This window comes from Homo sapiens, chromosome 2 (assembly GCF_000001405.40).
Source record: "Homo sapiens chromosome 2, GRCh38.p14 Primary Assembly".
NCBI lineage: Eukaryota > Metazoa > Chordata > Mammalia > Primates > Hominidae > Homo > Homo sapiens.
Window position 1 is genome coordinate 167,727,641 of NC_000002.12, and position 25,180 is coordinate 167,752,820.

Sequence of the window (25,180 nt, forward strand, 5' to 3'; positions counted from 1 at the left end):
ATCAAAATCATTGAAAATAAGGTATATTTGAGAGGCTGGGTACATTCCATCCTACGGCAGAATTCCTCTCCTTGTTTTTCCTCATAACAGGCTCTTTATCAAGACATCTTTCTTACATTCGGGGTTGATATTAAACTTGTGAGGCAAATCAAAGAACTTCCAAGGCCTCACAGGAATTTTTTATTTGGCTAGATTCAGTTTCGTTTTCTGCTTAATTGTATTACAAATGGATGAAAGTTAAACAGCTTGTCTTGAAAGTCAGCTAGAAGCTTTTGATACATTGGTGTCTGAATGAGAGTCCTTCATGTTGTCTGAATCAGTCACACTAGCTTCTTCTGGTTTTGAACCTTCTGCAATCTAGTCCTGGAGATTTGGCTATTTCTAGTACCTTTAATCGCAGTGTCTGCCATGTGACAAACACAATCTTCTGTATACACAATATTTTTCGTGTCAAAGCTGCACCAGGCCGGGTATGGTGGCTCATGCCTATAATCTCAACACTTTGGGAGGCCAAGGGGGAGCGGATCACCTGAGGTCAGGAGTTTGAGACCAGCCTGGCCAACATGGCGAAACCCAGCCTCTACTAAAAATACAAAAATTAGCCAGGCATGGTGGCACCACCTGTAATTTCAGCTACTCGGGAGGCTGAGGCAGGAGAATCATTTGAATCTGGGAGGTGAAGGTTGCAGTGAGGTGAGATCACGCCACTGCACTCCAGCCTGGGTGACAGCGTGAGACTCCATCAAAATAAATAAATAAGTAAAGCTGCACCAAAATGTATTTTAAGACAGATTGACAAATAAAATGACAATTAGAGGTACAAACAAGTGAAAATTAAATATATATGGCTATACCATTACAAATAACTGAGGTGAGACACAGATAAACAGAAACTTTTCTTTTATAGCTACATTTGCTCATGCAGGCAACCTTTTATGTCACGACTTTCTGATCTGCTTAGTAACTGTTGACTTGTTTGGGGGTTTGTTGTGAAATATTTCCCAGTTTCATGAATGTTAAAAAGCAAACCTTATGTATTGTAGACTTAAGATTATGTGGTATTTCCATATCATTAAATATCCTTTCATAGAGTCATTTTTAATGATTGCATATTGTTTAATTGTATACAGACAACCACTTTTTATTGAATATTTAGGTTTTTTTCAAAATTTCTCTAATTGGGGCTTGCAGTATATACCTTTGTACTGAAATGGAGTTCAGATGTTTTAACATTTATTCCAGAAAGTATCTTACTGTGAATTAAGAAGATACCCTGGATTAATACACAAATGGAAATGCTTTTTTTATCTCAGATTCTGACATGTTTTCTTCTTAGCCCTTATTTTAATGTATTGGTTGAATAAGTTGACTGTCTATCCCATTAAGTCATGATCACCTTACACATATACTTGTTTGTTATATGTGTTTCAGTACACTGGAAAGAAAGACTTCAGGAAGAAGGCTCAGCCCTGGTGAACTGTGAGGGAGGGAGTGGGGATGATGGGGAAAGTCCTGGACCATGAGTGAGTATCAGGGAAAGGCAGTCTTGCTCACTCACAGGGACACCTAAAAATCATTAAGGGGTAACTTGTTGAATGAGCAGGTGAGGACAGGTGCTAACAAGAATGATGGAGGATGGTGGAAGACAAACATTGTCTGCTTCTTAATTTACCCTAGGGATTCACCTGAATGGCACACTCATTACTATGCTTCCCCTGCCAAAGGGCAAGTACAAATAGTTAACACTAGGACGATGTCAAGGAATTAGAGAAGAGCTGTGGGGAAATGGAGGAGCACATAGGTCCCTGAAACACCAGCTCAGAGATTGAGTGTTCATAATTATGGAAAGGCGATAATAGCCTAGAATTATGTATAATGTCACACCTCACCAGGGCCTGCAGTGGGAACTTCTGCTGTGAGTAAAACTTGTCAATTCTGTGTATTTCTTCCTCTCTCTATTATGTAAGATTTTTATTTAAATCTTTAATAAAGTCTGGTTTCATTCTTCAACGTGTTTCCCTACCAAATTTTAATGATACATTTCTATCAATCATCACATCCATCCGTCCTTTCTAGTGCATTCCCAACAGTCTCCTGTTTCCTACCCACTGTCTGTATGCTTAGACTCAAAATAGATTCAAGCAGAACCAAAAGTCATGTGAAGAAGTGAAGTGGCCAAAATCCCTTTGATAAAAGCATGAAAAGAGCTAAGGGGCATCCTGTTGACCTGCCAAGCTGCAGGTGGTGGCCAAGCCCACCACAGGTCTTCCTCCTCCAATTAGACCCATTTCTCCTTCATAGGGGGAATTCCAGGGGGTGTGAGTTTGTGTGTGTAGTATGTGAGCCATCTTGGCTTATAGCTGACCTGCAGTGCCCAGAAGGGTGCACCACAAGCATTGTTCCAGCTCCAAAAGAAAGAAAGGAGTCCATTGTCTCTTTATGACAGCCAAAAATAGAACTGCCCTTTTAAATACTGCACAACATTGTAAATGGTCCAATCTATTTTCTGGCTTACTATATCCGCCGGGGCGCTCATCCACAATGTTGCTCTCTAGGCTTCTCTCAATCTGTTTGAGTCCTTTCCACACATACAGCAAGCTACATTTTTTTTCAAGGTTGAATGGCATTTCATTTTTTTGTTTGTTTTAAACTAAATTTAGCATAGTGTGTCTCAATTCTTAATGGTGTCTGCAACAACTCCCAAATTAGAAAGCTCTTCAAACTTCACTAGCAAAGTGTTGTTTTCTTGCTTTTTTCAAACCTTCTCACGGTGCTAACATAATACCTAATATTTGTCTAGTACTTTACAGTTTACAAAATACTTTCAAACCCATTATCTCCTGAGAGGTAGTATTATTATCAGGAACTCTCTTTACCAAGGCAGAGACAGGCTCAAAGATATTAATTTGTTTGTCAAAAGCTACACAGCTACTAACAAAGTTGAGACTGAAACTGGTTTTCTGGCTCCAGACCCCGTGTCCTTTATACCACTCAGAGCTGGCGCCCTTCTTTACTAATTCCTGTTTATGTATTTCCACACAAGCAGTTACCAATGGCAAATATTATTATTATTTAGCAGGAAACTGAATAAAATTCAATAACTTGAATAAATGTCTAGAAAGATGCTCTGACCATAGATTTTGGTCAGAAATATTTTCTTATGTCTCTGCCAACATGAAAACAAGACACAAAATCAGTGGCAGGTACTTTTAAAGATATTTATAATTGTCATTTATTGAGTACTTACAATGTGCCATACTCCATACGAATTTCCTTCCAAATACTATCTCAGTTAATTCAAAGAATAAACCTATGAAGAAAGTACTAGTATCCTCCTCAGTTTGTAGATGAGGAAACTGAGTTGTAAGAGATCATGTAAGCCCCTCAAGCTAGTAAGTGGTGCAGTAGGGACTTGAACCCAGGAAACATGGCTCCAGCGAGCATACTCCTAACCACTAAACCATAAGGATTTAGAGTTCTGGTTCTGTAACCAGCCTTAAGGTAAAATTTCAGCTGCACACTGACTAGCTGAAATTTGGGCAAATATTTAATCTCTCTGGAGATCAATTTTTCATCTGTGAAATGATTAAATAAGTGAACAAAAATTGGCACCTAGCTAGTCATCAGTAAATGTTAGCTTGTAGTCTACTGATGCTACACATTCTTCATTTATTTCTTTATTCCTCAACTAGGTATTGAGCCCTTCCTTGCTGTGTGTGCCAGATGATATTTCTCTGCACACTTAGTTTTAAAAGGTTTCATATTTTGTGTACCCCCAGGATCATCAGCGCCCAAAGCTAACCAGGCACTTTTCCTTCTTTCCTGTGTTTGAACACCATATGGAATCAGGATTAGTCACTTTGAGCCTTGTGTGAGTTGCTGTTGTTTCAAATGAGTTTGCAACTGCAGCATCTTTTGTTTTGTTACAGTACTACCAGTCTATCTTTTCCCAATATCTTTTTCTTCAAAATGCTGGAATTCATTTGATTATTTTCTAGGGCTATTTGAGCACACCCTCTGTGTGAATGAAGGAAACCAGGTTTTACTGCAGGCATCTCCCATTTACATGGCATAATTTAAAATTAAAGGCTTCCATTGCAAGGCAGCCTCTGTTTCCTGTTCCACCGTCTTTTCTGCTGATAGGTTGGATCATGGACTGTCCTCTCAAAGTCAGAGCAGTGGTGCTTGATGGCTCTGTACACTTAAGGAGATTTGTTTCCAGACCCCTCTTTCCCCAACTATTAATTGTCTTTTCCAAGATACTGTTTTTCCCATTCCTCAACCCTTAGAACTTATTCTACAGACTTTCACTTTGCTTTTGACTTATGACGATTTGGTGAAACACTTTTGTTAAGCCAGGCTGTACTCACTTGGAAGGGCAGTTTTTTATACACAGTATTACAACCTATATAATACATTTCTATGTGAATATGGCCAAGAAGAAGTACTCTAAGCTCAATGTCAAACCTGATGCCATTGTGATAAAACAAATACACAATGCCTTTAATTGCAACAGACGTTTTATGATCTCAATATTTCTGTAAACTCAGTCCACACAGCCAGTGTAGCCAAAATTAGAATACATTAAGAGGCATAAAATTGTAAATTGGACATGTGGATAAGCTTTATTGATATTGTAAAATATTATGGTAAGACTTTCTGTCGAGTCTCCTCATTTTTGGCACCACATTAAAAAACAGAGTTGTGAGTAGTACTGACGTAATTAGAAGTTGAACCTGTTTGGATTCACAGTGGTCACTCCAGACAATTACATTTTTAAACCTTCAGCAGATGGCCAGAATTAAGTCCTGGTGAGCCTTTTCCACAGCACCGGAGCCAACATGCAGTGGATATGCCACTGGCACAGATTTAACTTCACCTGGAAATAAGCTAGTGGGACGGAAACTGCTGCAGAACAACCGCTTCCATTGTGAGTTCCCACTCTCTCAGCATGGAACCAAAACAATGGCTGATTGCAAGGGAAACCAATAATTGAATAAGGTTGGGGAGGGAGTAGAAAAGGGAAGTAAATGTTTCCTCTGAATTGATTATTTGTGTAAGCAAAGTAAAATGTTCTTTAATGAAAGGTATTTCTCTTATACATGTAGTAGTGGCATTCTGGTAACATAACAATAATCTATCAGGACCCTACATTGAAGATAATTAAATGGAAGGAAAAAGAAGAGCAAAGAATATTCTTTTGATGACTTAGGAAGATTATGCTTTGTTAACAGCCAGCACTTTGAGTGTTTACAGTATGTCAGGGATGGTGCAAACTCTTTAGATATGTTGCCTTGTTAATCTTCACAATATCCTATGAGACAGATACTGTTTTTATTTCCATTTTACGCTGAAAGAAATAAGGCAAAAGGTTACACAGCTGGTAAGTGGCAGCTGGACTGTAAAGCATCTACTAAATCTAACCATCGGGGGTTTATCTGTGACCCCTGTGAGGGCAGTTTTAGGAGCATTGTTTGTTGGGAGCGGGAGGAGAATCTGATCTTCTTACTAGCAGGATGTCTAGAGGCAGGGACATGAGGGGAACTTATGGATACCTTAACATTCTCTGACATGGATGACACCCTGGATAACTTCTCATCGGGCTGTTTAGTTCCAGTGCACTCTTAACCATTATGATACCTACCTTGTGATGCCTTATTTGTTTAAATCAAGCTTGTCCAACCCATGGCCCGCAGGCCTCATGCAGGTCAGGACAGCTTTGAATGCGGCCCAACACAAATTCTTAATCTTTCTTAAAACATTATGAGTTTTATTGAGATTTTTTTTTTTTAGCTCATCAGCTGTCTTTAGTGTATTTTATGTGTGGCCCAAGACAATTCTTCTTCTTCCAGGGTGGCCCAGGGAAGCCAAAAGATTGGACAGCCCTGAATAGTTTCTCACTTTCTAAAACAAGTTTCTCAATTTCTAAAACAAATTGCCTACAATTTGATTGCCTCAACAATCCTGTAAAACACATAGCTCTATTTTACAGAGCTAGCAGCAGAGGCACAGAGAGGCTCCGAATGACTTGCCAAGAATGGAAGGCTAGTTGCTGATGAAGTCAGTATGAGATCTCCGTAACAGTGTTCTACTATTAAACGACCCATGGAACTTAACATTCTTCAAAGCCATTTGCCTTTGGCTCAGGTTTCCACAGATGAGGCTAACAGGAATGCTTCACTGTGTCTCTGATGGTCTTAAGGAGATGTTGTGTGGCAACTGACAGGATCCATGACACACTGTCCTCCTCCAATAACATGGTGATGTTATGACCAAATTCACTTGAAAGTACCAAGCATGTTGCCATTTCCTGGTTTAATCTAACTGCGGCTCAGCTTTCAAGGCCAGGAAAGTAAGAAGCAGACAGTTTAAGTTCAAGGTCATAGAGTGAGTCAGAGAGAAGATCCCAGGCTGCTCAGTTCCAAAACAACATGTCACTTTCCCTGTGCACAGGCAGGACATGGAATTAACGGGTTTATTGACATCCAAGAGTCATATTTACAGGTCTATAAAAAATATTGGTTGCTATAAAAATTCAGTAACATAAGTCCAGGGAATGTTCTGCAGAAGAAACTCCCTATGATACTTTCAGAGTGAATCAGTGAGGAAGTAAATGTATATTGGTCTAGTCACTATTCACCCAAGCCAGGATGTACAGGGGAAAAAAAAAAGTAGAAGTAGTCTTTGATCTCATTTCCCCCCAGTTTACAAGTTTGTTTGTTTGTGGCTGCCACTGTAACACCAAGTTAAATCAATTTCCAGGCCACTTTTGCTGTAAGGCAATAGCAACTTTTCAGTTTCTGTGGACGTGGTCTGAGTGTGTGGGAACACAGAGATTACTCAGAGAGCCAAAAATGAATGACAAGAATGAGACCCCCGTGCACCATGTGAGTCCTTGGCCATGAAATCAATGCCATGATCCGTTTGCTCCTGAGGACACCAAAAGATGTGCAGGTAGTCCCAACAGCCTTGGCAGTCACTTTTTTAAAGTTCTCAAATATGGATTTCAGAGGACAGAGAATAAATTATGAAAGTTTCTCTTGTAAAATTTCCTTCTAACAATCTGATTCCCCAAGTATCGTTCCTGGACTGCTTTTCTATTAAATTAAGTTGATAATGTAAAGGGGAGACTGAGAGACATGTTCCAAGTATGTTGACTTCTGTTCATCATATTTTCTCTGCATCTTTTATCTTCCAATTTTTCTCTTTTATATCTTTTTCCATCCATCTTTCTTTGCTTGATTTCCAACTATTTTCAAATACCTTATTCATAAGTCCCATTTTTCTGCCCCCTCCTCATTTTAAATATGTTCAGTCTTTTATTTCTCTTCCCTTTCTGCTTATGCTGCCATCATTTTCTCACTCTCTGTTCAAGTAACTGGATTTGCACATGGTTTTATATTTTAAACAATCACTCCAACAATATTTCAGCTGTCTCTGGGGGAAAAGGAATACAATCGTAAATATAAATCAGCTGGAGCCAAGTGAAAGCAGGCTTAAGCGAAGCATTAAATCCCCCCTTCCAATTTCCAAAACCACACAGAGAAATAGCTTAGGTCAGCTACAGTGAATATGGCAAAAGTGAAAAATGATAGTGCAAAGAGCCCCTGGTTATATCAAATTCTGCTTTTTTGTTACTTTGGACTTGCCAATAAATTCTGGGGGCCATTCTTTTATTAATATATTTCCTAGATCTCTACTAACTCCAGCATTTGGCAGATGAAATTTCACTAGACTGTTTAGAGACCTCCTGCTTCTACAGCAGCTAAACATCTCAATGGGCCAACCACAGGGGGAGAGCAATAAGTGTGAGAATTCCAATCTATTTCTCCCTGTGCTTTGCTGTCTTAGCAGGAACTGCTTATGTTTGATAATGTGTAGAATAATATTTGAGAAACATCTTCACTGGCTCAAAGCTAGTTGCCTAAAAATAGGGAAACAAATATATCTCTTCTGCATATATTCCTACAGATATAGATATATATAGATATAGATTTGTATCAGTAAAGAATACAAGAGGGGTGGAGGACAGGAAGGAAATGAAATAATGCATAATGATTCATTGAACCTCTACTCTGTCCCAAGTGCCCTAGATACATTATCTCATTTAATCTCACAATTATCCAGTGAAGAATATATTAAAATAAACATTTTTAAAAGATAGAAAAATAGAGGAGCAAGGTGATTGAGTAACTTGCCAATGGTCACCTAGTAAGTGGTAGAGTTATCTATGAATGAATCCACATGATGAAGAAGGAGAAGGAAGAGGAAGAGAAGAGAAGGATGAGGAGGAGGAAGAATGTTTATCAAGCCAGACCCTATACTAACTAGCATTTCATATAAATTATCACATTTGCAGAAATTCTCTGAAGCAAACAATATTGATACCTCTGTTTTATTGATGAAAGACCAAAGCGTAGCATAGGTACAATAATTTGTTCAAGTCACAGAGCTAGTGGGTAGAAATTTCAGGATCTGAACCACAGTGAACCACTTCAGATTCCACAGCGTCAATCCCAAATCCATGTTTTTTCACTATATAACCATGTCTCTTGAGATATTCAAAATGGAAATCCAACATCAAAATTATATTTTAGTGCCACATTTAAGAAAAATGACATGTCTGTAATGATATTATAATAGAAATCCTATTTCATTCAAAAATAGCATTTCAGTGTAGCCCAAATACTGAAAGGCTATGTCAAAAGATAATTCAGCATGTCTGGGAAGTATTCATCAACTTCTTTTCATCACTATAGAACATGTAGGACTCCTTCAGAATGCCTTAGGGGTTCAAGGCAGTGGTGGATGGGGGAGAAGAGAGCAGTCTTAAAATGGCAAGCTCAGCATATCCAGTAACTCTATCCCTCATGCAGAATTAGATTGCTATTGAACTGTACTAATACATTCAAAAGGTTGCAAAAATTCAGCTAGAATAGATTTCAGATGTTAGGACTCCCAGTAGAATTAAACCAATGAGGCTGGATGCAGTGGCTCACGCCTGGACTCCCAGCACTTTGGGAGGCTGAGGCGGGTAGATCACTTGAGGTCAGGAGTTTGAGACCAACCTGGCCAACATGGCGAAACCCTGTTTCTACTAAAAAAAAGAAAGAAAAATATGTATATGTATATACACATGAAAAAGTAGCCGGGTGTGGTGGTGCATGCCTGTAATTCCAGCTACTCGGGAGGCTGAGGCATGAGAATCACTTGAACCTGGGAGGCGGAGGTTGCAGTGAGCCCAATTTGCCACTGCATTCCAGCCAGGGTGATGGAGTGAGACTCTGTCCCCCCCTTCCCCCCCAAAAAAAGAATTAAACCAATGAATTCATTCTGATAAATCCCTCTTACAGCATTAAAGCAATTAATGATGTCAGTATTTCCTTTGTTAAAAGTAGGCTTTCAAGCAATGCAGATTTTAAAATCTATTTTTTTCCAATAATTACCTTTCCATTTAATTGTTTAGATCTCCTTGTCTTTCACAAAAATAATTTTGAGGAGGTGAAAAGAGTATGGCCTTACAGGAGCTTACATTCATTGAATATTCGCCAGGCATCATGCTAAGTACTTTGCTTGCAGTTAAGTTTTGTGAAGTGGGTACTTTTTAATCTCTATTAACTGGATGAGGAAACTGGTTTAATGACATTAGTTAATTTTCCTTTATCACATAACTAAAAAGAGCTTGACTTCAAATCCAGGTGTTTCTGACTACAAAGCCTGAGCTCTTAATCAGCATTCATTGAAGTCATAGCTGATCAAATAATTATATTCAAAAGCTGTGATTTAACACATCATTTCCAGCATGGAAGGGCTGTGTATTGTTTTCAGTTCTGGATCTTGCTGTCTAAAAGTAGTACAGATAAATTGAAGTGTGCTCAGAAAAGAGCAACTTAAATGGTGAAGGGCCCACAACCACTTCAGTTGAAGAGGAGTCTTAGGGGCCAGCAACATTTTGCTTGAAGAAGAGAAAAATCAATATGGTCCTGTCTTCAGACATTTGGAGAACTGCCCTGAAGGAGGTGAAATGAGCCTGTCAATGGAGGGAACTGTAAGAGACCATCTCCAAGGTTCTTTGGCAATCTGTGATTCTCTGTTGTATTTCCTCATGAATCCAAGGAGTAGAGTCAGTGGAAGCTACATGTTAGCTGAGCATGAGAAAGAATTTTCTGCTAGAGTAAGCTGATGATGGCAGTTGTGCCTCAGACTTAACCCATCAGTGGAGTTTCTAGCATAGGCCAGAAAAACACTTGGTGGGAATTTTGGGAAGGAAATTTAAATATAGAATGATTGATTAAACTAGATGCCTTTCCCGGACCTGAGAGCCGTAAACTGACAAATAAATGCTCCATGATGACAAACCCCAAGACTATCTGCTGAAGTTCCTCAGAGCCTGAGATTTATGTTTCTTTTGCTCTTCCAGAGAAGCCTCTCATTGAAAGGGAAGATTAGAGAAAAGAACTTACAATGACAGTAGTGCAAGCTCTCAGATCTTACACTTGAGTTCTAAAATGACAGACAAGGTTGTAAGAAAATCCATGCAAGAACTGATGAGATAACTCCTAAGAAAATGTTTCGAGAAGCACAAAACACCATTGAAATTATAGGGAATAAAAGTAATATTAGCAAGTTAGGGAGGCAACAGTCCTCATTGTTAGGGAATCTTTCTTGGTTAAATGTCATTGTGCATCTATATATGGAGTGGGCCAAGGAGTGGAAAATTCAAATTAAATGAAAGATCAAAATCATTTTTAAAGTGTAGTAAAATCAGTCAGTATTGGACAGAATGGCAGTGACAGGACCCACTCAGAAAATACCGTGAAGGTGGAATCAGTTTCATCTTTAGTTTTTATCAAATGATATTTTTTCTAAAGACAAGCACAAACAGTTGTTAGAAGTCACCACAATGGAGTTCTTATGTTTTTTCCTCTTTCAATCTCAAATACTACTAGTATCTTCTGTGTGAAACATGAATATGGATACACAAACAAACAAAAAAATACCATAAGATCCCTGTCAGAGAGACAGGGTTACAATTCAAAACTGAAAAGAGAGATTTCAGATTTCAAGTAATGCCTCAAGATTCTTAGCCTTTTAGAATAACTAGAAGTTTCAGAGAAAAGTCAAACTCTCCCTTCTGATGTTCATGTTCTTTGTATACTTTTGTGGGACCAACTCTTACTACATTTGAAACCAAAAAATAGTTGCACGTTGAACTTCATGTATCCTGGATATATTCCATTTTCTGACATACATTATCTTTCCAGGTTTCCCTTGACAGCACTTAGATTGAAATGTACAGCTATTAAGACAGTATTATAAACAGTCATTCCTTTATGATTGGACATGAAATATTCTGTCTCCCTATGCTACACCTACCCTACATTTCAGTTTTATGGTGGTCAATTCCAGTACATATTCCATTCCCTCTGCCCCTCTGCTCTAGATTGGATTGATATTCTTTCAGCTGCCTTAGCTATAAGAATTGGAATTGTGTAATGAAAAATAAATTGGCTATCATTCTAAGGTGCACCCTGTTGAATGGGGAGATTTTTAAATTAAATTGTTGTTTCTAACTTTTTTCCAAACACCTGTAATTTCTGAATTTAAGACTCACATGTAGCTCTGCTCTAACTTTCAGGATAGCTTGGTGAAGTGATGAAAAGTTTAAATAATCCCTCAGATGAAAGCCCAGAAACCTATTCATAAGACGTAACAGCTTCCTTGGTCCAAGGAAAGAAAGCAGAGGGGAGGGTGGATAGAAATGGGAATTAGGAAATATTTGTTCATAGTGCCAAGGTCAAAGATTCTTCCTGAAGACTGCTGTTGGAAGGACCATGGTCCAAATGGTTTTATTTCTCATATTTAGAAAAGCATGAGAAAGTGACTTGTGCTGCCTTCAATCACATATTTTTGGGTATTTAGCATTAGCATTTTTCTTTCTTCTTTCTGATTCTAGCCTATTTTATTTTCTCCATAGTGCTTTTCTCTACCTAACGTATTATGTATTTATTGTTTATCAGCTTTCATATCACTGGACTGTAAGTTCCCCATCATTCCAAAGATTAACCCATAGAAGTTCAATAAATATTTGTGAAATTAAGGAATGAATGAATGAATAGTGAGACAACCTTTTAAAATATAATCCACATTTCTTTAAAAGCAGTTCTAGGCCAGGCACAGGGACTCACAGCTGTAATCCCAACACTTTGGGAGGCCAATGCAGAAGGATTGCTTGAGCCCAGGAGTTTGAGACCACTCTGGGCAACACAGTAAGAAGTTGTCTCTACAAAAAAACAAACAAAAAAAAAAAAATCTAGGCGTGGTGGTGCATGCCTGTAGACTCAGCTATTTGGGAGGCTGAGGTGGGATGATCACTTGAGCCCAGGAGTTCAAGGCTGCAGTGAGCCATGATTGCACTGCCATACTCCAGCCTGGGCAACAGAGTGGGACTCTGTCTCTAAATAAATAAATAAATAAATAAATAAATAAATAAATAAATAGAAAAGAAATTCTACTAGAGAAGCTTATAAAGCAAAATGTTTGGTGCTGCTCAGATTAGGATAAATGGAACACATTTAATAGGTTCTCTGAGGGGTCTACTTTTTTACAACAGTGAAGGTAGATGGTACCTACCATCTCTAATTTCATGCCAGAAAATGAAGCATATATTTTAATTTGTAAATACAGAATTTTCAGAGTTCTTTGGCCTATTTCTCTCCAGGAATGTTGGTACATGCTGTTCCTGAACATCAGTGAAACCACCTTTAATGAGATGTCTTTGGCCCAGCTGGCATTCCTGACTTGGATCCAAAATGATATTGAAAAAAGTCTTTTGTGGACTTTATTTTAATCAAATAAATGTGGCAAATAAAACAATATTGTTATAGGATGATAATAAATAACTATATTATTTTGCAGATACTTGGCAAATGCATTATAGGAATGGCCCACATAGTAAATTATAATAAAAAGAGTATAAAATAGAAATATATTTCCTGGCCACCCCTCTAAATGGTAGTAAGAAGCAGATGAAATTCATCTTTGTGCAAATACTCTGAAAAGTAAAATATTACTAATTTAAATAAGTAATAAAAAATTTCTAGGAATAGTTCATGTACATTGTGTCATATTTAGATTTTGTTCAATATATCATCATAAGCTCTATCCTAAGTCAAAACTTGCCTTCAGACCCCACTATACAACCAACCACACTTTAGTCTTTTGGCAGGCACTGTGGTAACTTCTCAATTTCTGGGCCCACTTCAGCTGGTAAATAAGCCAGTTCCTTTCCATCTCTGGGAGGAGCTCCCTCCTTCCCTGGCACTAGGTGTCATTGATTCAGGGGTAAGCACAGGACTCAAGCCAAGACAATGAGAATAGAGAACAGAAATTGGAAAAGTAGCTTCCTTGCTTTTCTGAGAATGCTTCTGGAATCACTTTTCTTTGTCTCTCTCTGTCATGGACAAGGACTTCTGTAGCCTCTGGTGTTGTTGGCAGCCAGTTTGTATCTATATAGGCCAGATGACACCCCAGAATGTAGGATGGTGAGGCAAAAAAAAGTGGGCATTTGATGACTTTGTTAGTCATTGAACCAAGACTCTCATGAGTCAGTATATCCACTTTATTGTAAATATCAATGTAAATTGGGTGTTTGGTTACTTATCACTGAGCACATTCTAACAAATGAAATTCCTTTCTTCAAAAAACATCTACTAAGTGCTAAACTTTGGTATACAAAGATAGTTAAAACATCTTCCATGCCCTCAGAGAAGTTACAGTCTGGTAGGAAAAGCCAACAAGAAAATACCAAGGTGGGGTGGATATAGCCAGAGTGGTCCATCACAGGTGTAGGAGATAAGGGGGTGCATTGTTTCCAAATTATTTAGAATATAATAATAATAGAGATTTGAAATTTGCATACTTTTTATTATCACCATGCATGCCAATTCTAAACAATGCCAGTGATAAAAATACTCCTCCCTGCCAGGGTGGACCATGCCACTCCCTTCAGGTCCCCAGCCCTTGTAACCACAATGGTTGTTAAATAACTATCTATAAATCACACTAAACATCTTTGACCTTGAAGTTCACCTTTAGGGAGAAATAAACTCCCTAAAGTATGCTGTTCTTTGATCATACTGGGAACCAAAATCTTGACTACAATAATGGAGTTGAGCTATCTAGATTTTATAATGTTGGCAACAGAGAGTATATAATTCAGTGCTATGTGAAGGCAACTTCATAACTTACTGAGAGTATATGAAGATACATAAGAGGATAAGGAATATAATATACCACAAGGTATTAATACTGTAAAGTGGGAGTTGATATGAACTTTCAATTTGCCCTTACTGAGAAACTGATGACACCTCTCAGTCAGGTGTGCATAACAGACTCTAACGACTCCAAATGACTCTAGAAGTTTCTACTAAAGTAATTTAATTTACTGATGCTCTTCTGTGCATCTACCTTTCCAGGTGTAATTGAGGAGTCCTTACCGGAAGGTCACTTTACTATATCAGTGTTTTTCACTCTCGGTTTTTGATGAAATACTTGCTTTAAGATTGCTTTAAGTGTAGTCTTTATCCATTGTAGTATGAGAGACAGTTGCTTCACCATTATTGTTTGCTTGGCTGTTTCCTGCCTGATGGATGCAGAGTACACTGCAGTGTAGGGACAGGTAATGTGTAGTGGGAGTTCTGAAGCTGGTGAAGTCAGTCCTCACTGGGCAAAAGAGCATATCTGGTTCCTGAGAGATGAGAAATATTTGTGTAGAAAATCTTTAAGAAAGGGAAGGCATTGAAAGCTTAGGAAACAGTTTAAGAAAAAAACACAAGAGCATAAAAAATGTGTATTCAGTAAAGACAGTAAAAAAGCAAGTCCAAAATATGGGTGTGTAGCGGCATATGGTGGGGTAAAGAAATCTGTTCTATCACAGCAGAAAGATGACTACGTAGCAGAAAGAAGTTGCATCTAGAACTTCATGCTAACCACTTAGGACCTTATTTGTTAAATAATAAGAACCCATTTTTTTTAAGTATGAGCACAGAAATGATGTAATTCTGTTTTTCAGATTTTTATTATATAGTATTTGAACATTCAGAAATCTATTTCAAATATGTCATGAATAATATGATTAGTATCCATGAAATTGTTGCCCAACTTAAAGAACTAAAATAATTCTAATACCATTGTGCCTTTCTTCTGGTTCTCCTCTAATCTGCTCTTTACTTCCTGCTCAAAGTAACCTACTATAATGAATTTTGTTTTATCATTTATTTGCTATTTATAAAGAAAAAAATGTGTCACATGTATATCATAAACAATATGCATATTGCTTGGTTTTCCTTGGTTTTACACTTCATAAAAACCATATCATACTACATATAGCCTTCATGATGTACTTTTTCTATGAATATTATTTTTAAGGAGCATCCATATATAATTGTTACTGTAGCTATAGTTCACTCATTTTTTTCAATGTCTAACATGCCAATGTGAATATATCACATTTATTTACCCAAACTCCTACTAATAGATTTTTTCCTTTTTTGTTATAACAAGCAATATATCCTGGCATGCATGAACAAAAGTTTCTCGAGTATGTACCTAGGAGAAGAATTGCTGGGAGTTAAGTTTATAAAGGTTCTATTTTACAAAATAGTAACCAATTTTTTTCTAAAGAGGTTAAACCAATTTAAACCCCCATCAGCATTGAGCCTCAAGAACAGCAGTATTTTGTATAGTCAGACTTCTTGTCTTTTTGCTAAATAAGAAAACAATAGAATATTTATCATTGTAGTATTAATTTCTATATCTCCAATTACTAATGAAATTTTAAAAATATATTTGTGTGCTATTATTTCTTTTCTTGTAAGATATGTCTGTTTTTATCTTTTGCCCATTTTTCCATTGAAATGTTTTTGTAGTTATAGAACTATTTCACTTTTCTATATTTTAAATCGGTTTTGGTAATAATATGTTTCTCTTTATTTTGTCTAAATCTCTGATATATTGGTAGTTTATGTTCTCATTTATATCCCAAGTATTTTCTATTTGTGTCTTCTCTCTTTTTCTGTTAATCAATCTGGGCACCATCTTATCTATTTAAACAGTTTTTACAAAGAAACAACTTTGGCTGTGTTGACCATCTATTTTAATCTGTTTCTTATTCCAGTGGTTTTTTTGAAAAACTCATCTTTATTACCTCTGTTATTCTGCTTTAGTGGGACTTCTTCTGTTTTTCTAACTTCCTAATTTGATGGCTTAGCTACAAACATTTAAGACTGCAAAATTTTATTGAGTATTATTTCAATATAACATTATTGTTCAGCTGAAATATTTTTAATTTCCACTAAAAAGGTTTTGATTTATGAGTTATTCAACACTATATGTGTGCCTAATTTCCAATTATGGGGGGATTTTTAAATTAATCCTTTAATTATTAACTTCTAATTTATTTGAATTGCAGTCAGAGAAAATGGCCTATGAGTACCAATGGCTTACTATGTGAATAATTTTTTAAATGCCTCATGTTTCTTGATAAGAATGCAATATCACTAGTTGTGTGCAGGAGTCAATAAATCAAGCTGGTTAATGGTATTGATCAAATCTTTCATATATTCATCATTTTTATCTGCTTCATCTATTAATTGAAAGGGTTGTATTTGGAATCTTTCATTATAATAAGAGATTTCTATTTGTAGTGCTAGCAATTTTAAAATATATTTTCATGTTATTTTATTAGATTAATGTAAGTTTGCAACTATTATTATAGATCTCTCATGAATTAAACCTTTTTATTAGTTTGTAGTGTCCATTCCTATTCTCAAAGGCTTTTTGTCTTTAAGAATACTTTTTATTCCTCAGCTTTTCCTTGGTTAATATTTACCTGTTAAACCTTGTCTATCCTTTTATTTTTAATTTTCTGTTTTCTTATAGGCCTATCTCTTTTTCTTTTTTTTTTCTGAGACAGAGTTACACTCTTGTTGCCCAGGCTGGAGTGCAGTGGCATGATCACGGCTCACTGCAACCTCCACCTCCCGAGTTCAAGCGATTCTCCTGCATCAGCCTCCCAGGTGGCTGGGATTACAGGCACTGACCACCACGCCCGGCTAATTTTGTATTTTTAGTAGAACAGGGTTTCTCCATGTTGGTGAGGCTGGTCTTGAACTCCTGACCTCGTGATCCGCCTGCCTCGGCCTCCCAAAGTGCTGGGATTACAGGCGTGAACCACCACACCCGGCCAGACATACCATTTATACACAGTAAATGTCTTGTTTTGTTTTTATATTCAATCAAATAATCTCTGATTTTTTTATTGGCAATTTAAGATCATTTACATTTATTTTAATTGCTAATATACTTGGACTTATTTGTGTAATTTTGCTTTATAATTTCTCTGCCTCTTTTTTTTTCTCTTTTTGTCCCTTTACATTTTGAATTAATGAAAACTATTTTTTGTCTTATTCCATTGTTTTCTATCAACTGGTGTGGAAGTTATCTTTATGAATTTGGTGGTTGCCCTAGAAGTTTTAATATGCATATTTAATAAAGTCTGATATTCCTCAATATATTAATTCTATTCTAAAACCATACAAAACCTTGAAACATGTAATGTAGATTGTTGCTCACCCCCTCTCCTAACATTTACATTATTCTCTATTTGTTTTAATTCCCTAAACTAGACACGATTATGGTTATCTATGTAGACACTGTTTATTATGATTTGTTTATTAAACAGTTTCTTCTCACTGTTGCTTCTTGCCTTTCATACTATTCTTTTGAGATCATTTTCCTTCTATGAAGTATATAACTTCAGTATTTCCATAGTGATTGCCTATTAGAAACTCCATTTTGTTGTTTGCTTATTTTTAATGTAAATGCCTCTATTTTATCCTCATTCTTAAAAGATGGCTTTGATATTTATGTTTAAAACTATTTTTTTCTCAGCAATTTGAAGATATTCTATTGGCTTATGATTCCCTTGTTGTTGAGAATCTTACTATCATATTTTCATCCTTTTTAGCTGTTCGGTTTTTTTCTCTCTGTTATGTTGAAAACCATCTATTTATCTTGGTGTTCTGCAGTTTTACTGGATATGTGTAGCTGTAGAATTCTGAAAATTTATTCTACTGACGTATAGTGTGGTTCCATTATCTATCTGTGGATGCATGTTTTTCATCAGTTCTGGAAATTTTTCAATTAATTATTGAACTTAAATATCATATCTCCTCTGTTATCTCTAGTCTGTCTTACTGGCACTTGAATTGTATATTTATGATTAATATCCTCATATTATTCTTCATATCTCTTAACTCTCTCTAATAATTCTCATTTTCTTATGTCTACATAATGGTATCAGATCTAAGTCTTCACCTTTGTCTAATCTCCTGAGTCAGATGAATTGTTGTGGTTAGAAAAGGAGAAGTAAGGGATGATTTAGAAAGTGGTAAAGTCATTTCAAAGGTAAAGGAGACAAATTAATTCCTCTATTAGATAACTTACATTAAAACTGTTATTATTATTGTTCTGTTGGTTGTGAAATATCTATAAAATTCATGCTGTGCAACTGATTTGTTCACTTAAAAGAAATTTAAGTGCCCTTCCAAGTCTTATATGAGGACATTATTTTTTCTTTTTAAAAGACAAATAAAATGAGATCTTTATTAAGTTTCAAAGTTTAGTTAAGAGACTTGAAAGTTAATGCAGTAACATGCATTTGCAATCTTACTGCATTGATTTGTTTGACATAGAATCATCTTCCAAGCCCTCTCAAGCCTTTTTTCTCACATCTGTGACAGGGCATGCATGACCTAACCAAAGATCAGCATCATGTTGTGTGAGCATGTGATTTGTTGTTTTCTAAAAAAGTCATAAGTTCAACAAATACAGCTGAATTCTTTTGCTGTTGAACAAATTTATTTTATTGACTTGCTTCAGAAATATGTGACAATGGAGCCGCTGTCCCACTCTTCTTAGCAATGACAAATTGGTCATACACTTCAATTAATAATATCTGGTAAATAGCTCTGAGGCACTTGTTTGTAAAAATTAGTATTCCATGTTATACACTAATTAAAAATACAGAGCTGCCATTATGAAATGTGTTTTTAAAGCTCAACATATTATGTGTAATAGCCCTTAAGTTTGCTATGTCTTTGCAGTCTGCCTTTCCCACAGATTGTGAATCAATCTGTTTTTTCATTTTATAGAAAAATTGGGTTAGTACATATAATTTGATCTCACAGAGGTGTTGAAAGTGCATGCATTCTATGTATCTAATAATATATTGTGATAACATTCAGATTAAAGAGATAATTCTTTTGTGCCCTATGTTGCTGCCCTTTTTCGCTCCCTTTCTGCTTTTCTTTCTTCCCCTTCCCCATATCGTACCTCCAACCCACTAAATTCCGATGATTTAAAGCATTGTGTCGACATTTTTCCCTTTTATAATGAGTTCAGCTTTTGCCACTGTCAGTGTTTGGGGCTTATATGTAAAATGACTTGATTATTCATGGTGATAAAGGGGGAGAGCATTGTGGGAAGGAGAGTCTCCGGTACTCTTAGAGCAGGCAGCCAAGATGTTGGGGTTGGAAGGCTGTCTGACCCTTGATGCCACCTTTGAAGACTTAAAATTCTACCAATCACAATTTATTCCTTTGGATTAGGGCATTGCCCCTTATCAAAATGCAAATCCCTCAGGGCCAGAAAATGCCTAAGCTGCTATCATTCATTAACATCATACAACTAATTCATGTATTGGAATCATTCCAGCAGAATTAGGCTGACAGCAATTTTTAAGAAAAATTAGACAGATACAGCTTGAAAGAGATTCAGAACTAGATGAGGTCACTAAACATCCAGAGAGCAGTAGAAGGCCATTGTAGACAGAGAAGAGGGAGAGGAAAAACAACTAGAGGTTAAAGAGGCTCAAGAGAAACTCATCTAATTCACAGTTTTGCCCAACCTTGGTCCTAAGTGTGATTTTATGTTTAAGTGAAGAAAGCAAACATCCACATGAATACCGTGTGAGTCTAGCTAGCCCAGGGAACATAGTTTCCTGCGGAATTTCATCTGGGATCACTATATACACAATAGTCATGGAGAATGGGAAGTACCTACAGAAATTAACTTGTAGATGATCAAAAGTATGAAGGCGTCAGAATGGGCTAGAGGTTGTTTATTGCATTTGCAAAATTTCAAAACAAATGTGTAATTCTGATCATGACTATTAAAACTGAGCAGAACTGGTCAAAAGTCTCATTTCAGGCCAATGGTTAAGTATTTATTTCACCAAATTTTAATTAGATATGTCTGCATATGCTCCCTTTTCCTCTTCTTACATTTAGTAAGCATTTCTAGTATCCATATTTGTACAAAGTTTACTGCCAGCATTCTGGGGAATACAAAGAATAAGAAATACAAAAAAGCTGTTTCCAAGTAGCTACTACAAAGCTGCAAGAAGAAAATAAAACAATAACTATAATGCAAGTTAGACTATGATACGAGCTCTCTGGAAAGCACAGATGAAGCACAATGTGATATGTGGGGAGTGTTAAACAATGCTTGATGCCATCATTATAAATAACTTATTCAGCCATTGCTATAAAGATTGGCAGTTGGGGGTGACAGTTACTTTCATGCAGATCACCTAAGGCAAGCCATCAGTTATCCACCGAGATGAGCGATAACTTGCAAATCCTGGGATTCATCATTGATGAAAAGAATTTCTGTTCCCCATTTCACTAGAAATTTCCACAGATTCATTAAGTCTTCAAGGGAGAAAATGGAAATTAAAATATCTCTTGAAGCTTTTCCTGAGATTATTCTTTTCAGGTCAGGATCTCTCCTTGTCATGGTAAAGTAGGGTTGGGGGTTGAGAGATCTCACAGTCCTGTAGGGACTTTTGAGCTGAGGTATCAGAAGGCACCAAGGCAAAAGGAAGGTTCAAAGTGGGCAACTATGTGGAAGTGCATGACTCGGAATGTCAGGCAAAACTTAATGGACCACAAATTAGAAGAAGCCAGAGGCAGGTATTGAAGTCAAAGTATAATGCCTAACTGAAGAATTCTGTTAGTCACATTGAACAATGAATTTTAGTGTTTGAGACTTGCTTTTAAGGAGTCTGTGGGAGAAAGGCCACAGACTGAGTGGATATTGCCAGACAAGCCAGTCTTCCTTGGACAAATCAGCATCTCTGTCCTTGTGTTCTCACACTGCTCAATAATAAGTGATGAGAATCATTCTTCCAGTCATTCATGCCACACACATTTATTAAGCAACTACTATGTTCCAGGCTCCATGCTGAGTGTGCACAGAGATTCAAGTAGAAGTAGTTGGTACTCCAGAATGTAGAGTCCAAAGACACCTATAAATAAAAAACAGACAAGCCAGGCATAGCTAAGATGCATGTATTTTTGTGAGGCTGGCCAAGGGTTGGCCTTAGAACTAGCTTCAACTTTTAAATAGTCATGACTAAGCATCCCACACATGTCATATGATTAATCATGAAAGTCCTTTGCTTCACAACCTTTTCATAGACAGATATTGTGTAACAAGTTAACCTTAAGGACACATGCCTTAAAGGACTATTGAGCAAAAAAAATAACTAAGCTCTTTCCAGGTAACACTCAGGGAACTTTTGCAGTGTCATATCCGTTCTCTGGTACCTATGTGTCCGATCTTCCTGCCCATCTGTTTCTTTCACTCAAAGTCCCAGAATCCTATGCCACGGGCAGGATTTTCACCTCTCAATATAGACCCATGTACCTTACCCCATGTTCCAACTGACTTCCTGAGAAATAAATCATTGTCCTTGTATTTCATAAGAGACAACAAACATTGATTTTGTTGTTAACATATGTGAGGCTTCGTTCATCCAATAACTATATATTTTAATCACCAATAAGTATCCTAAAATTTCAGACGCTAATGCCCTGAGGGATCAACTTTTAATCAATTATTGACTACAGTTTGAGGGGTGCCATGTCCAGATTAAATGCAGTATGATTTATCCTATGGTAAGTAAATCCTCTCCACTTGGAGTCTTGAAGTTGTTTTAAATGCCTTAAACTAAGTTTCTCCAACAGCAGTTTCAAGATTGTGACATTTAATGCTAGTTTTATAGCAAAAAGAATTCTCTAGCAATGTGTTGAAAGGCAACATGAGTTCATTCTGAGTCTTTGATTATGTTTAATAAGCTTTGCTGTCAGACGCTGAGTCATGATCTTTCTCTTCTGTTTTACAGTTTGTATTTACACCTATTTGCATTTGATAAAAGCAATGTAAGAGCTCTGCCCTTTGGCAGTGATGACTCCTTTATTTTAATCAGTGCAAAGAAAAAAATAAGAAAATTTGGCATGAGAGTGTGTAAAACCCCTTCCTTTGGCCATTTTAAATTTTAGTAGTTATGTATGTATTCTTGTAGAATGACTACTTTGTGACATTAACTGTCAGCACATCCATCATTTGATTTACATTAGAAATTTTGCTATCAGGTTCAATTTAGCAAATAAGGCTAAGAAAAGTTTTTGTCTTGTCTATTTGCAAGCCTGAGTGATGTAGATATTTATAAGCATGGCTTTATAATATTTTACTTAATGGGAAAAAAATCTATGCTAATTGTATTTCCAATCCAATAAAGTGAAATTTGTCTAGCAGCAGGGTGTGGCCAGAGTAAATAGACCGTAAGGAAAACACTCACGAAGGAGTGGGATTGGTATTTCTGAATCCCCACTGGACAACAATAATTATTAACAATTTATCTCAAGCTTGCTCCTCTCTTAGTGGCATTTTTTAAGTCGTTTCTTCTAGAAGTCTTTGAGCCTAGAAAAGCCAAGTTTTGTGTTTATTTCTTTCACATACATTAATGTCTTGAGTCAGATATCACTAATTTGAAAATGGGTTTCATCCTTTTTGGTGAAAATAATTTGGAGTTCAACCAGGTTGGTACCTGGGTACCTGGTACTGTCCCCTCAGGTGTCATATGACTAATCATGAAAGTCCTTTGGTTCACGGTTCACAACCTTTTCATAGACAGATATTATGTAGCAAGTTAACCTTAAGGACACATACCTTAAAGGACTGTTGAGCAAAAAAAAAAAAAAAAAAAACTAAGCCCCTCGCAGGTAACACTCAGGGATCTTTAGAGTGTCATATCCCTTCTCTGGTACCTACATATCAAGTCTTCCTGCCCATCTGTTCCTCTCACTCAAAGTCCCAGAATCCTATGCCACGGGCAGGAATCTATTTAGGATCCAAGCAGTGAGATGAAGTAATGGGTGAATGTAACATGGAAGTAGGCAGCCTTTTTCTATAAAGGGCCAGATGGTAAATATTTTTGGCTTTGTGAGCCATACAGTCTCTGTCACAGCTACTCAACTCTGCTGTTGCTGCAAGAAAACAGGCGTAAACAACATATAAATGAATGAGCTTGGCTGAGTTCAAATAAAACTTTATTTACAAAAATAGCAAGCTAGATTTGGCTTGTGCATCATGGTTTGCTGACCCCTGGTGTAAGATATCACTCCTCTGTGGATTATATTTTGGCACATTACTAAAGAAATAGTGACAATACAAATTTTCCTGACACATAATACAGAGAAAGTGTTGTGGCTCCTTTGGATACTGAGAAGTTATTTAAAATGTGTCATAATACCAGCAAACCCTTGCTCCAAGGCTTAGAAGACCCTAGGCAACAAGTACTTGAGTAAAAGGCAGAAGAGGACCAGATGAGATTGGACAGAGGCACCAGACAATCTGCCCTGGCATGTTTTCCCAGGTATTAATAATGTGGAATGGAGTGGAGGAAATAGTCTGTCTGTGGGAGAATTTCAGAACAGAGAATTTTTTGCCAATATGTCCATTCTAAATAAGACTTCATCCAGGGGCTTAAGGAATTAGGAGTTATGAGGATAATTGGACCCTAGCCTCATAGTCAGTTCAGAAAACAGTCAGTCCCAGCAGAGATATTGGGCTGCCCACCAGGCACCACTTTGGACTGATAGAAGGTATGTGTGCTGGGTCAGTGGAGGTGAGGGAGTGGTGGGTGAGACATTCAGAAAAATGAAACTTGTGTTATTTCACAGCTCATTTAGTCATCCAAGTTTTTCTCAGACAATTCCTGGGGTACTGCAAGATTTAGTTAAGGCACCTCTGGAGTGTGTGCCCGAGTTTCTGATCAAACGATGAGTAGATGTCAGCAGATACTGCTGCAGTCTAGGAAAGGAGATCTTCAAGACCTAGGAACCAAGTAGGGGCTGACCACATTACTACTGTAGGCATTTTGCTCATATATGGCAAACACTATGAGAGCCAGAAATGAACTTTTTCTTTATAAAGTCTCATTTATACCTCCACAGGAAAATCAGACACTATGCATAACACTGCATTGTTCCAGGAGAGTCTTAGCTACTGAAAGTAGTATTGTCTACCTTTTTTTTTTGACACATAAAGAACTTTTACATTGTAAAAAGATTTTATGGGATGCAGTGAGAATTTAACTTGGAAATTGCAGCATTTTCAAGGTGAAAAGTGGAAACAAAGAGCAGCACAATAGCTATTATGCACAGTAGACACTTCCGGTTAAGATGAGTTAGAGTGATGTAGACTATTTTTTAAAAATAAAAAGAACAATACTTTTAACCTTATATGTATATTTAAACACTCATAAAACATTGTTACAATTTATGACAAGAAGTCAGGAATTGCAGTGTACTTACAAATGAAAGTAAAGGAGAATACTTAATAGTAATTTTATAAAGGCCGTGTAAATGTAAAGCATATTGCTTTTGTAGCCATGAGGAGACCTACGTGATGTTGCATACCATTTATGTAGATTTATTGTAAACTTTCCAAAAAGAGGTACTCTATTTGTTTTTTTTTTTAAATAAACTGCAGACCTTTCCATCAGTGCAGAATAATAGCATCCTCCCCCCCGCCCCTCTCCCCCCACACCCCCCTTCCCCGCTTTAATGTCACAGTTAGTGGCTTCTCTAGATAAGATTTGTCTGAGAGGAAAAGTGCACTCGGATTCTTAGAAATTAACATCTCCTAGGTGAACAAAGCTCCGAAAAGGAAAAAACAAAAAGTCTCAACTCAGCAACTCACAATTGTTGAAAACTGTAGGACTGTCACCTTTAGTCACATCACTCTTTGGCAAGGGCATTTGGGGAGCTGC

General features: G+C 37.0%; 1 protein-coding gene across 5 annotated transcripts in view; it reads left to right on the forward strand.

Moving 5' to 3' along the window:
• Positions 1 to 25,180, forward strand: part of B3GALT1 (beta-1,3-galactosyltransferase 1) — a 581,045-nt gene that overhangs the window by 434,640 nt on the left and 121,225 nt on the right. For 2 of the 5 annotated variants that reach the window (XM_047446160.1, XM_006712819.4), the window contains exon 1: positions 21,855 to 22,022. The exons of the other annotated variants lie outside the window; for them this stretch is intronic. The gene's annotated coding sequence lies outside the window, so the exon portion shown is untranslated. Of the gene's footprint in view, positions 1 to 21,854; positions 22,023 to 25,180 lie in introns of those variants that run through there. 5 annotated transcript variants of the gene reach the window in all.